The 13,211-nt window shown below is 36.3% G+C and overlaps 1 protein-coding gene across 18 annotated transcripts in view; it reads left to right on the forward strand.

Annotated features, from left to right (window-relative positions):
• The window catches only part of FOCAD (focadhesin), a 340,326-nt gene that overhangs the window by 80,408 nt on the left and 246,707 nt on the right, over positions 1–13,211 (forward strand). For 15 of the 18 annotated variants that reach the window (XM_047423537.1, XM_047423539.1, NM_017794.5 and 12 more), the window contains one exon: positions 4,204–4,308. The exons of the other annotated variants lie outside the window; for them this stretch is intronic. In XM_047423537.1, the coding sequence (XP_047279493.1) occupies positions 4,204–4,308 (105 nt within the window). The remainder of the gene's footprint in view (positions 1–4,203; positions 4,309–13,211) is intronic. 18 annotated transcript variants of the gene reach the window in all.

A 13,211-nucleotide genomic window follows, 5' to 3' on the forward strand; every position in this document is an offset into this window, starting at 1 on the left:
ACTCACTTTTTTGGGGGAGGTGTTTGGACTTACTGAGTTTTATAAGCCTTTCTCTTATAACTCCACATGCATTGCTTCATTCAGTTTTGTTGTTTGTAGACAAGAATGCTGATGCCAAATTAGAAATGATGCAAGCCTAGTTGTTTTTATTTTATGAATTTTTTTGTTTTATAAAATTTAAGAGGTTATAGGATTTTTTTTATCCTTTGAGAAATGTCAGCAATTATTTTATTTCAGAAATCTTGCTTAGTACTTGGAAGCTTTTTCAATTTGAAGATGTAAGTGCAGTGAAATTTTCTTTGACTTTTGCTTCTCCAGTGGTTATGTTTTCTTCTAATTCACTATTTTGAGTTTTAGCATGATTCAAATTACTGTAACCTCTTTATGAAATCATACAGAATTCAACAATAATTTTCATTTTGCAGGAGTAGATCTCAGATCCAGAATAACAAAGACTTGAAAACAAGAAAAGCAGATTTTGAGCTAAGAGATGGAAAATACTAGAGATTTTTAGGAGTTAGGATGAGTTTGTAGTTAGTTTTAGGCAAATTCCAGGCCTCAGCGTTCATTAACTCTGATGCCTGTGCTTACACAGCGTCATCTGAAAGAGGGAAGAACATTATTATCTTTATGTTATAGTATAAGTTTTGAATTATCCCAGCTTTTTGAAAAAGCATGTAATTTACTGACATACTATTCTTTATTTTTTAAAACAACGTAAGAGATGGGCTTATTATGATTTTTGATTATGAAGACGAGGATGTTGAGACCCCTAGGCATTAAGTGACTTGCCTAAGATTCCCTAGTTAATTCAAATTGAAGTAGGGGTTTAAATAAATATTAACCTGAAAGTATCCCTCTCAACCCATTTGAAATATGTAAATCATAATATTTATTAAACATAATATTTATTAATATAAATAATATCTATTTCAAGTGGGTTGAGGGGGATAGTTTCAATTAAATTTAAGGCAAATGTATAACCATTTGAATGGCGCTATGTGTAACTTGATTGATGCCATCATCTTTCAAAAATTATAATCTACTCATGCTACACTCTTGCTGAAAATACAGCATTGACTCCGTTATCTACACAATAAAATCTGGATCCACAGATAAGAGTAAGTGAGACCTAACTTAAAGTTTAAAAAATTGGAGTTCATTTATCAGCATTGGTGGTTTTGTGAATCCCTTGGAATTAAAAGTAAATGTGATGTCTATTCTTTTCTCTTGGATTCCACTGCTTTCATAAAAAGGTAGGACACCATAAAAACCATAGATCTGTTATCTGTTATCTCTAGAACTCTAGTCATATGACAAATAAATAATTAAGGAAAACCAATATAGTTTCACATGCAAAAAAGGATTATTTAATGAATTTGTATTTTTTGGAAGAAATTCAGTCAGAAATTCATCAACACTGGTCATTTCAACTAATCATTAGGCTCAGAGTGCAGTCTTACGAGGTTACTAGGTGAAGCCTGGCCTTTCTTCAGTGGTATATAAATAGCTTAAATACGACTTGAAAGCTGATTTTCAGTTGTATAGACATTGAAGGCTAGAAGATAAGAATGCTTCTAAACATGTAGTGACTCTTTCTCCAGGACAGACCAAAGTAGACTCCCTATGATAGGCTTTAGTCAGATACTGGATTCTCAGAATGGCTCACCCAATTAGTGATGATGAGATTGTATATTTCATGGTATCATTTAACATCTAGGCACAGGCCTGGGTCAGAGCTGCAGGACTGCATCCCTGAGACCTGGTAAGTTAGCTTACAAAATTCATATATTTGGAGGAGTCAGATCCCATAGACCTTCAGAGGAGGCTGTGTGAACTCTACCCTGTGACTTAGTCGAGACATTTATACCTAGGTATAGGTTCTTGATAAATTGGTGATAGAGCAGTTATGTTGAGGGATCTCCAGGTCTTTGTAAAGGAAGGTGTTGTGAAGAGTTGTGAAGAACTGGAGGATATAGTGGGAGACACCAGTCCTTATAGTCCAGAGTTCTCAGTTACAAAAAGTTCTGATTCTGAAAAAGTAAATGGTGTGAAGAATTGCAAAGAAGGAGTTTATTTTAAAAGTTTGGATGTTGAGGTATCTTTTTCCTAAGCTCTGGCATAAGAGGAGTCTAGAAATTCAGTGTCAATAGAGAAGTTTCTCAGAAGAATGTGAACAGTTCCAAAGGAAGAAGACAAGGCAATACCTTGGTTACCCAAGGAGGTCCTCAAGGAGATGCCATGCAGTCAGACTTTCTTGAGGCAATTACACTTCATTCTAGTTTACAAAAAGATTTCCATTTTAATTTTCACTGAGTTACAGTGAGATTCACTGGCCATTTTGTGGGCCAAAGTACCATAGAATTGACACAGTACCAATGTGTAGCATGTGAGCAAGCCAAATCTTGATTTGACATCCATTGGAGAACACACACAGGAGAGAGAATCTTTATGGAGAAGGCTTCATGAAGTGTTGGGACCTCTGTGTTCACCAGAGGATCCACACAGGAGAGAAACTATACACATGTGACATATGTCATGAAAGATTCATCCATGAGTTATACTGAATGGTCCTAAGAGGATCCATATGGAAGAGAAAACATACCACTGTAGATTGTGAAAAATGCTTCAGCTGCAAGAGAAACCTCAATACTCCCCAAAGAATCCATTTAGGCACTAAACTATTTGAGTGTCTACAGCAGTGCTGTGAAATAGAAATATAATCTTAGCCACAAATGCAAGCCACATATGTAATTCAGAATTTTCCAGTAGCCACATTAAAAAACCAGAAATAGATTACATTAACTTTAATAATATATTTTATGTAGCCCAATATATCAAAAATATTATTTCAACATGTAATCAATATAAAAAATTATACATGGTATTTAATATTCTTTTTTTTGTGTCCCAAAGTCTTTTAAATCTAGCATGTATTTTGTACTTACAGGACATCTGAATTTGGACTAACCATATTACTAGTGCTCAGTAGCCACATGTGGCTGTTACTATATTGGACTGTGCAGGTCTACTAAGTGGCCAAACCTTTTGTCACTTGGAAAACCTTAAATGCCATAAAAAAATACACTCAGTAACATCTCACATAAATGCCACAAATGATACCTAATTAAGTCCAAGTAGTGTTCTAACCCAAAAATAAAGTTAACATTGATTTCTAATCAACTATGTTCTGAAGTAAGTGACATAATGCAAGAACTTAGAAAAGTGCTTAGCTTATGGTAATGCTCAATAAATGTTAACAAGCATAATTAAACAATAATTACTTTTTGGCTGGGCACAGTGGCTCACACTTGTAATCCCAGCACTTTGGGAGGCTGAGGCAGGCGGGTCACCTAAGGTCAGGAGTTTGAGACCAGCCTGACCAACATGGTGAAACCTTGTCTCTACTAAAAATACAAAATTAGCCAGATGTGGTGGCACATGCCTGTAATCCCAGCTACTTGGGAGGTTGAGGCAGGAGAATCAGTTGAACCCAGGAGATGGAGGTTGCAGTGAGCCGAGATCGTGCCATTGAACTACAGGCTGGGCAACAAGAGTGAAACTCCATCTAAAAAAAAAAAAAAAATTACTTTTTAAATTTAACAAATAGTGAGTTTTTTATTTCTAAGATTTTCTTTATATTTTCCAGGGAGATCTTTATTTAAGAAAGGCAGCCTATTTTTCTTTCTGATATGTTTATCCTCTTATCTCTTACAAAAATAAGGAAAAAATTTAAATTGCTATTCCCTTTCTATTAGCTCTATTTCGATGGGGGTTATTTGCTTTGATTGCTTCCCTGGCCCACTTTTTAGAGTGGCTGATCCATTTCATATATTTGGTTATTTTTCATAGTCTGCTAATATTTATAAATGAAATATTTGGTCATTCGGTGTGGGCAACCAATGTGGTCACTGCTTGAAATTATGTGGGCTAATGTTTGTTTTTTCCTGATTGATTTTCCCCCAAGAATGTGTAGGCAGATGATTGATAAGTTGGTGGTTTGATTCTTTAGCTCCATTTCTTCTCCTTTAAATGTGTTGGATGGGTTTGGGCTGTACTATAGAATGAGTTGAGGGCCTGTGGGTGGCTACTGTTTAATGTGGGTGGCAAGTATTAAAATTATTTTAAAATGATAGGATTAAGCACCTGATTAGAATATTCACTTTTTATCTATAACATTTAACATGCTATATTTCTTTGCAGAAATACACATGGCTTGATAAAAGCCATTATGCACTTACTACAAATGCAAGCTCTTAAGGAAGGACAAGGTGGGGAAAAGAATATTCAGAGTATATATACCATTAGGTAAGCCTTTTTTCTGTTTTTTTTTTAAACAAATATGAATTTTTAATGAAATTATTAACTGTGACATGATAATCCAGTAAGAATTAGTTATTTAATTCAGCAGGATATGCACACAGTGATTGTGGGTGTTGACCTCTCAGGAAGTTAGCGTTTCAAAGACTCAGAGGATTGAGATAGAGTTGACAAGATGAGTATCACCAATGTGGGTTTCAGGGTTGCTAATTTGGAATTGAAATCTTTTACCTAAAACTCAGATTATTCTGTTTACTCTAGAATATGTAACCATCTTCACAGTATTATGAAAATGGAAGACTTCATTGAACAAAGATATTTAAAGCAGGGGGGGATTTAGGTTAGGCAGGATGGTAATCTGCCTTACTATAAAAAGCAATAGGAGACTGCTATTTCCAAGTGACTTAGGCCAAGGTCAGTAGTTAGGAGTGTTGATTTGCCTTTTCTTTGTCATCTGTAGAATGTAATAAGGTAGAATTGTTTTAAAAAAATAAAATACACACAGTAGCAATAATACTACAATGCATTGGATTTTCTGGGGGAGTTGTGGTCAAGGGAGGGAATCATACTTCCTTGTGAAGGTGACCTTACCTATTGCCTTGAAGGACCCAGGAAGCCATCTCTTAAGAGAGGGGCTCTGAGTTAGCAGAGGACCCAGAAGATGCATGTGATCAGTGTATGTTGCCCTAGGAACTCTGTTCAGTGAGGCATTCAGAATGTGTCTGCTTCAAAAGAATGACAGCATGGAACCATAAAGAAGGGCATTGATTCATGTGGGGAAGATGGCTTACATGGGCTATGGTGATCAAACAGGGAAAGGAAATCAGGTACTTTTGCTGTGAGCCACCACTGAATTGATCTTACAGCACCTGTAGTCTTCAGTATTTGACAACACAGGTATCAGAAGTGTGAGAGAGTCTCTCTTCAAAATACAGAGGGGTGTCTATCACTTACCTGTATTTATAGTGCTTTCTTTTTGATAATAAGTAAACAGTATCTCATATACTGTAAATGGGATGGTCTGTGTCGTGGTATATCTCATATACCATGATCTTCCGTGTAATTTTTAGTGCTATTTGTGATCTCTTATTTTTATGAATACATTATTGTTTCTTAAGGCATTTTTTTAAACAAAGTCATATTTGCATTTTATATTTTTTCTTAACATATTTTGTGAATATCTTCAAACATACAAGTTGGAAGAATGTGGTACAATGAATTAATTTATTTTTAAATAAGGGAAGCAAAAGGAAAATTATTTATTTGAAAATACTATGAAAACTTGAGGTCTGCAGAGTAAAGCTTTCCAAATCGGTAAATATGCTTTTTTTTTTTTTTTTTTTTTTAACATAGTGGTGTCCTTTGTGACGTAAGGGTTTATTCTTTATCCATTGCCTTGGCTAGAATTGAACCTGCAGAGTAAATGAGCACATTTTAATATTTCTGAATAAACATCTGCATTTCCTCCTTTTTAAAAAGAAATTCAAACTCTTGGGCCAGAGTTCAGGATAGAAAATAATTCAATTTAGTTGTTGTTAAGATGGGCTTATTTATTTCTAAATAGGGAAGCTATTGAAGTTTTTAATTGAAATTTTTATGTAACAGTTTTATGGAGATATAATTCACATATGAGTGACCCATTTAAAATGTATGATTCAGTGACTTTTACTCCATTCACAAAGTTATGCCACCATCACCATAATCAATTTTAGAACATCTTCATCATCTCCAAAGAAATTCCTTACCAATTAGCCGTCACTCCATATTTTCTCCCCTCTCAGGGAAGTATTTTTAGTTCAATGCTTCCCAACATTGGTGCCCATTAGAACCACCTGGGTGTGCTTAAAAAGAGACAAACATGGTAACGATCAAATACCCTAGATAAAATGAATCCGAATCTCCGCCATGAGGCCTAGTGGTTTTAAAAGTGTCCTAGGTGATTGTCATTCACAATGAGTACAAAGTGGTGTGTCAGCTGCTCTAAAATGTGCATCCTAATTACTTGGGGACCTTGTTGAAGTGCAGATTCTTTTTCCTTAGTCTAGTGTGGGCTCAAGATTCTTGTCTAACAGGCTCCCAGGTGATGCTGATGCTGCTTTTGCCCTACCACACTGTTGAGTAGCAGAGCTACCGCCGCATCGGCATACCTGTGAACCTGTGAAGAATGCAGAACCTTGGACTCCATCTAAGAGTGCCAGAGTCAGAACTGCATTTTAGAAAGATTTTCTACGTAATTTATAGGCACCTTAAAGTATAAGAAGCATCAGTTTAGATGATGGTAAAAAGAAGTTTTCTATAATGCAGAGAATTTGGGTTACTCTCATTTTAATCCTGATTGTCTTCACCGTGTGCAATTGTTAGACCTTTAATTATCTGTAATGTTTGACCTTTTAATTCATTTTTTCCTATAGTTGGTTCCTTTAACTTCAGTCTTGTTTCAAAAGGCAATTGCTGCAAGGTGTGAATAGGAAGCCTAGTTTGAGAAGCTGAGAAGAATTGGATACATAGGCTTGTCTTTAGATACGTGGCACATTAAGAGGTCCGTAATCAATCACCTGAGTTGGCATAATCTGGTAATGTTTATGGAGAGCCCTTATGTGAATGGCCGTTTAGCACTATAAATCAGTAGAGAGTAATTGAGTGTATAAGAGCCTTAAGTTCCTCCAAGGGGGATTGTGGATGGCAGAAACAGAGGAGAGGTGAGCCTGAAGAGCATATTCCCCTCAAGAGAGCTATGATTACCTGAGTCAATCATAAAATTGTCATGCTGTTTTAGAGCCTTCTTTGCCACATGTTGGTTAGCAATATCATCCAGCCTTAGAGAGGCAACTGATGAGCTGTGTATGAAAGCATAAAAGGGATATGAGAAACTTAGAACTCCACTGAGAGGTGTTTTCTGGTTATTCTGTAGGATTAATTTAAAATAGAAGGAGTATGGCAAATAAGTGTAAGCTTTCTGAGCATGCAGCTAATCTGTGTTTTTATGGTATTAAGCACTGTGCCAGTATTCAGCTGGGGCTTAAGTATTTCTTACTTCTTTTTCTTCTAATAGCTGATTAATTTGAATCACAGTGCAACAGAATACTTGGTCATCTTAAATGGTCTGTGCTGAACCAAATAAGTTGTACCAGTATGGGAGTGGACAGAAAACAAGAGATATGAGAACCAAGAATGTTAGGCGGTGGTTTCCCTTAGCCCCTCTGAATTTTATGAAGGAGCTGTAGAGATGGTATTCTTTTTATTGTACCTAGAGCTTAGTTAGTGGTTCTCAAACTTGTCTTGCATAAGAACCACTGGGGCAGCGTGTTAAAAGTACAGCTTCTGAATCCCACTTGCCAGAGATTCTTATTCATTCAGTGGGTTTTGTGTGAGGCTCAGAAATCAGCATGTTACCCATTTGCTCAGTGATATGGAAATATGTCATTTGTGGATTACACATGAGAACTATTGCTTCAGTATCTGGGAGCTTGATGGTTCCATACGTGAGCTTCAAGGTCCCCTTTGAGGTAGACTAGAGGGGATCTTGGGTGGCTTACCTATGCCTCCTTTTCTTTGTCTATTTGGGTGGCAAGAAGTCTGTATCTTCCTAAGTACCAAGGCACCAAGTTTGTCTTACATGTGTCAGTCATGGACAATAGAGAGGCCAAGAGCAGAAGCAAACAGTGACTGTAAAGGAAAAGCACTCCAAAGAGAGCAAGCCAACTTTGGATGCTAGAGAGAAAATGTAAGAGATCATGGGTTTGTTCAATGAAAAAATTCCATGGCCCCAACACATGTTAGTGTTCTTCATGGTCAGACGGTGGGTGGGTGGTTGTGGGAGGAGGAGGGGAAGAGAACCTTGAACATCCTCTTAGAAACTGACACTTGTTTACTGTGCATAAGGAGCTCATCTTTGGAGTTTTTAATGTTTGGAGCATGGCCCAGACTTCTGCATTTTTAACACGGGATTTGAATGGAAGTGGTTTACTGACCAGGCTTTGAGAAACACTGGATTAGAATCATATGTAGTTAATGCAGCTCATATTGCTTAACTGGACCCTCCTTTCTAAGCAGTCTTTTCTTTAGCTTTGTGGCTTAAACAAGATTAGGCATAGATATTTAAATAAGGCTGCAACTCTCAGTTACCTTTGTAACTGGAAGCATAGTGCAGTACATTTGGCTACTGTGATTAGCTAAGGAGCATATGCCAAGTATAAAACTCTAGACCCATGAGTCTCAACTCTGTCTGCACATTAGAGCCCTCTTAGGAGCTTTAAAATATATGGATGACTGGGCTTTACCCAGAATGACTGAAGGGTTGGTCTTAGGTGTTGGTATTTTTTTAAAAGCTTCCCACGTGATTTCCAGCGTGCAGGTAAGGGTGGAGAACTGCTGGCCAATTGTTGCCATGAAACAATGGGACTTCATTGTTGCCACACGTTCAGATCTTTCAATATAAATAAAGTTTTTATGTGAAATCTCCTGACTGAATGCTGACAACCAATTCAAACTTTTCAAAATGTAGGGTAGGTAGACAAAACACATCTGCTCACAAGATGCAATCAGTGGGCAACAAGTTTGTGACCTCTGATGCAGGTACTATTTTCAAGAATTTCAGAAGCCACTTTCTAGTTATACTAATTAACATTTTTTTAAACCACTATGTAGTATCCTTTAGTTCAGACTTTCTTTTTTTCTCCCTTTTTTATTTGGTCTGAATTTTCTTTTGTTTAGCTAGAACCCCTCTTTTGTGTAACACACTTATATTTAAGTTATTTAAACATTTTTTTTTTTTTGAGACAGGGTCTCACTCTGTCACCCAGGCTGGAGTGCAGTGGTGCAGTCTTGGCTCACTGCAACCTCTGCCTCCCAGGCTCAAGCTATCCTCCCATCTCAGCTCCCCCAGTAGCTGGGACTACAGGTGCGACACTACGCCCTGCTAATTTTTTGTAGAGGCAGGGTTGTCCAGGCTGGTCTTGAACTCCTGAGCTCAAGCGATCCACCTGCTTCGGCCTCCCAAAGTGCTGGGATTACAGGTGTGAGCCATGGCACTGGGCCTGTTTAAACATTTTCTAATATTGATCGTGCAGGAAGTGGGCAGAGAATCAATATTTCGCTAGTGTTTTGGTTGCAGGGAAGAATAAATAAATTTTCATGGGTTGTAAATTATTAGAGGCTCATTTTCTTATTTGCTTTGTAAGATGCCATTTTTCCCCTAAATTTTATCATGTGCTTTTGCTTTTAATTTTTTCTCTGCATATTCATATTATGGCAATCTTTTAAAGATCTCTCTTCCCTCAGCTAAAGTGAGGAAATAGCTGTGAATTCATGAGCAGTAACTGCTTGTTCCAGAATTCGTGTATTTTTCTGATGTGCCAGACAGTGGCTGACATGCACAAATATCAAATGTTAAGAATCTTATTTGTGGGAAGGTTTGGTCTGGTAAACATGAAGCTGTACTTTCTGAAATAAGGGAATATTAAATGTTCGTGGCAGATGGTGTGCTCGGAAGTGGACAATTAGGCCAACAGTAATGGATGATTGTACCCTGAGTAGATTAAAGTTATGTGCTCTATGTTTGTATTTGTTCATCTATTTGTGTAATAGTATATAGTTTATTTGGAGGGAGAGTTAAGTTTAAGGACTTAAAGACGTGTATCCTAAAGGCTGAGATTTTGTAATTTATATTGGTTTATTTCCTTATCACTGAGGGCAAATGTGTTCATCACTTAAGGCCATCAAATAAAGAAAAGCAATAGCAAGTCCAAGATAAATACTGATTTAAGTGCGCAAAGACCAGTGTGTGGTTGTGGATATCAAAATGTAGCCCCATTTTTAATTTCAATAACTAGCTTTTTAAGCATTGTTTTTGCATTTTCTCCTATTGTCTGTTTTGAAGGAAGACATGGAGCCAGCTGCATGAAGAGTGTTTCAGAGGAAGGAAAAGCAAGTGCCTAGAAGCTTGGCACATGAGAGGAACTAACAGGAGGCAGAGTGGCTGGAGTTTAGTGCTCTAGGGAGGGGAGGCCGGGACATTGGCTCAGGAGAAGTAGGCACGGGCTAGAATATGAAAGGCCATGGCAAAGACCGGGTTTTACTTAAAGAGCCGTGGGAAGTCATTAAAAACATTTCTTTTTAACTTACTGTATTGAAATAATTTTAAAGTTCGAGAAAAGTTACAAGAATAGCACCAAAGACTCCCATGTACCATTTACCCAGATTTATCAGTGTTTTTGCTCTTTGCCATGTTTGCATTATCATTATCTCTGTATAATTAATAAAAACCATTTGAGAGTAGATTGGAAACATTCAAGAGTGTGTTTTCTAAGAACAAGGATATTCTCTTATATAACCAGAATATAAAATTGAACATTGATATAATACTTTTTATAACATACAGTCCATATTCCAGTTTTGTCTGTTGTCTCAATAATGTCCTGCCTTTTGCCGCCTTACTTTTTAATGTATAGGATCTAGTTTAGGATCACCTGTTGCCTTTGGTTGCCATACCTTTTTAGCCTTTTAACATCTGGAACTGTTTCTCATCCTTTCTTTGTTTTTCATGGTGTTGGCATTTTTGAATTCCATATAAATGACGCTGTGTCCTTCTGAGGTTAATCACATCTGGAGGTACTGGTGTCCCTCTTGCCCCTCATTGGGGATTTTAATTTTGGCTACACAGTCGAGGTAGTGTGTGGTTTCTGTACTGAATAGTTATCATTTTTTTGAACTAATAAGCAATCTGTGGGGAATACATTTTGAGACCATGCAAATATTCTGCTCCTCATTAAGCTCAGCACTCCCAACCAATTTTCACTGTGATGACTACAAAATGGTGATTTTCCCAACTCCACCACTCCCTTTATGTTTATTAGTGGCAAAAGAGATAGCTATTTGGTTTAGAGGTGGAAATGACTATTAAGCTATCAATCAAGGATATTAAGGAGATATATCAGATTCTGATTTGGACTTATTTTCTAAGGGAAATCCAAGTTAAATTTTTTTTTACATTAGCAGTATACTTATACTGCTGATAAATGTGCTTTCTAAAATTAAAAATAGTATGTGGCTGAGTTAAGTCTGAAATATTTTAAATCCCTTTTTATTGAGATATAATTTATGTACTATAAAATTCACTCTTAAAGCGTACAAGTCAGTAGATTTTATTATAGTCAGGAAGTTATGTAACCATAATCACTGTCTAATTCCAGAATATTTTCATCACCCCAAAAAGAAACCTCATACCCGTTATCAGTCATTCCCCAATACTCTCTATTCCCAGCCCCTGGAAAACACTACTATTTGTGTCTTTGGATTTGCCTTATAAGTGGAACAATACAGTGTGGCTTCTTTCACTTAGCATAATGTTTTCAAGGTTTCATTCATGTTGTAGCATGCATCCATACTTCATTCCTTTTAATCCATTCCATAGATATAAAATTTTATTTATCTTGGAATTTTTTGATGCTAAGACCATTTGCATTTTTAGTGTTTTTTTTTTTTTGCCTTTTATATATATTTTAAAGGTAAACTACTTTTTGTAAGTTATTGAAAATGAACTGTAGTCTTTAGAGTAGTTTAGTTATTGTTTTTCATATCTACATACATTTCATTATTACATTTACTGTTTCTTAATGATGTTGCTCATCCTCTAACTCTTAAAAAAATCGACGATCAGCTATTATCTTATGGTTTTATTGTCAAAGTGAGCATTTTGCTTTTGGGGGGTTGATTATTTCATTACTTGAATATATTACCTGAAGGGATCTCCTGAGGTATAAATGTTTGGTTTTACTTAGCATAATGTAAGTATGACACCTATACAATCAAGCTGCCATAAGGGATTGAAACCAGTGGAATACATTAATACAATAATTAATTTTATTTTTATTTTGCTGAAGTTATAACAACTTACACTCAGGGAGCCACCATTTCTGGACAGAACATATCATATAACTTTTTAAATTTTTTTTTGGAAATGGTCTTTATAGTTTTTTTGAAAGCAGGAGTTCTAAGGAGACTGAGTTGTAGCAACTACCTAAGATATACTTAGGTTTAATTTACTGGTATGTAGCCTTTTTTGGGAGGGTGGTCAGGACCTTCTTAAGAATTACATAAAAGTTTTGGACTTTCTCCTATTATAGAAAATGTACACATGCATATATACTAAAAATTTTACATATGGTTTCAGAGGGCTTGTAGAAATCATTATAGAAAAATCAGAGAAAGAAGATGGGAAAGGATGTAGTCAGATTCACTCCTGAAAAAGCCCAATGGAGTTAAGGATAAAGAGGAAGGTAGGGCAGTAATTGAGAAAACATAGCTAGTAATACTTTTCAAGGGCCATCTGTCTCTTTGCAGTTCCATTCTTTCTCTCTAGCTACATGTTTTGCTCCTGTTTTTATTTCCTCTTTTCCTTCTTCTTTTCCACTCAGGAAAGTCTTTATTCACAATTTATGGGTCTAATCACCTGGGGTTTACACCTAAGATTTATAATCAGACTTTTAGAATAAGCTGCACCCATCATACAGTCTTCCAGTTAGCAGTAGCCACCAGAAAACACTTTATATGTTCTTCTAATTGTAGATGTTTAATTGAAAGATTGGGATTATAATTTGCTGCTAAATGTCTTTAAGGCCACAAAAATGTTGTAGTTTTTGCCTATTATCCTATTTGTTTGTCTCTAGGTGTTTTTTTTCCCCCAGTGATCATAGCACACAACTTAATGAAAGGAAGGTTGTGGATCCCTAAGTACATTTATGTTTCCCCCCAACCAATTACTTTGTACTTAAAATAGTTCCAGACTTCTGACATTGGCAGGCACCATTGCATTAAAACCCTGGCTCTCTAAAAGGGATTCTGGGAAAGGTTCATTGTTGGGGGAGAATCGTTGTAATAGGAAGTATATTTTC

The sequence above is a fragment of the Homo sapiens genome, chromosome 9 (assembly GCF_000001405.40).
Source record: "Homo sapiens chromosome 9, GRCh38.p14 Primary Assembly".
Lineage (NCBI taxonomy): Eukaryota > Metazoa > Chordata > Mammalia > Primates > Hominidae > Homo > Homo sapiens.